This window comes from Homo sapiens, chromosome 14 (assembly GCF_000001405.40).
Source record: "Homo sapiens chromosome 14, GRCh38.p14 Primary Assembly".
NCBI lineage: Eukaryota > Metazoa > Chordata > Mammalia > Primates > Hominidae > Homo > Homo sapiens.
The window spans coordinates 20223234-20224937 of record NC_000014.9 but is presented as its reverse complement, the minus strand read 5'-3'; the positions used below and the strand labels follow the sequence as shown (position 1 = coordinate 20224937).

Genomic DNA, 1704 nt, shown 5'->3' with positions numbered 1-1704 from the left:
TACGTATATATACACCCACCCACCACATAACTACTCAGTGAGGCCACATATGTTTAAAATGTTTTATTGAGCATTGGCATTTATCATTAATGAGCTGAATTTAACTGCTAAGGAACTGTGAAAGATAAGTCTGTCTACCTGAGTGTGAGCCAGAACATACTACTGAAGCTACTCTCTATAGTTATAAAAAATTAAGGTCAGAAGTGGCCAATTTGGCTTCTTTTTCAAAGATATCTCAGTTTTGGCTAACTGTTAACCCCAGGACTCTCTTTAGAGCATCTTTCATGTCTTTGTTTCGAAGACTATAGATAAGGGGATTTAAGAATGGAGTCATTGCTGTGTATACCAGAGTGATGATCTTCTGCATTCCTGCTGGGTTCCCTGATGTTGGGCTCACATACATCACCATAAGGGTTCCATAGAATAGAGACACCACCATTAGGTGGGACCCACATGTGGAGAAAGCTTTAGTTCGACCAGCACCAGAGGGAATACAAAGCACAGCTCTGATGACCAGAGTGTAAGATCCCAAGATGGAGAGGAAGGGCCCAAAGATAATCATCGAGTTGAAGGTGTAACAGATAAGCTCAGTGGAAGGAGCAGAGATGCAGGCCAGTGCAAACAATGGGCCTGGGTCACACACCAAGTGGTCAATGATGTTGGGCCCACAGAAGGGAAGTTGGGAGATAAGAACAATAGGGACTGGATAGCAGAGAAATCCGCCTACCCAGCATACACAGACCAGAATTATACAGAACTTCCCAGTCATGATGGAGGGGTAGTGTAATGGACGACAGATGGCCAGGTACCGATCATAAGCCATAACTGATAAAAAGAAACACTCTGTTGTACCCAGTGAAAAAAAGAAATAGAATTGCAGGAAGCAACCAGAGAAGGAGATGGTTTTAATCTCAGAGAGGATATTGACTAGCATGTTTGGGACAGTGGAGGAAATGTACCAGATCTCTAGAAAGGCAAAGTTTCCCAGAAGGATGTACATGGGTGTGTGGAGCCGCCTGTCCAATTTCACTGCACAGACAATAGCTCCATTCCCTAGCAGTGTCAGGAGATAGAGAACCAGGATGAATGAGAAGAAGCAGCTCTGCATCTCCCTTTGACCATGGAAACCCAGGAGGACAAACTCAGTCACAAAATGCATTGTTCTGTTCTGGGGTCCCAAAGCTGTTAGAAAAACAGAAGTAACCAAAGAATGAATAATAAAGAACATTTGGAGATTTTGCTAACTCATGCTGGATGATGTACTAAGTATTTTTACATACATTATCTCATTTGGTCTTCCTAATGACTCTTTGAGCTGCGAGGAGGTATTCTTTACCCTTCTCTTTCACAGACAGGGTAATTGAAGTTCAAAGAGATTAGAAGGGTTCACTTAAACATATGTACAAAGCCAGTAACGCCCAGATACACTGGCCTATTTGGAGATTGGTTTGGAACAAATCATGTTTCACTTCAAATTTTCTATAACCCTGAGTCTCAGTAATGTTTCATCTTTAATGGTAAAATCACTGCCCCTTAGATACTCTACATATAAATATAAACTTTGGATATATTCTTTTACTTTAAAGCAAAATTGAGTATAAATCTGAAGCAAGAATAGTTGCTATATTAAAATTGCCTTCTTAGAGCCTCATATGTAGAAGTCCAATAAAAAGCAGATAGGAATTAAACTTTGGGGAGTCTTCA

The 1704-nt window shown here is 40.8% G+C and overlaps 1 protein-coding gene across 1 annotated transcript; it reads right to left on the bottom strand.

Annotated features, from left to right (window-relative positions):
* Positions 1-235: 235 nt before the first annotated feature.
* On the bottom strand, positions 236-1228 carry OR11H6 (olfactory receptor family 11 subfamily H member 6). The gene has a single exon (NM_001004480.1). It carries the CDS (start codon positions 1226-1228, stop codon positions 236-238), a length of 993 nt encoding a protein of 330 aa, NP_001004480.1.
* Positions 1229-1704: the final 476 nt, after the last annotated feature.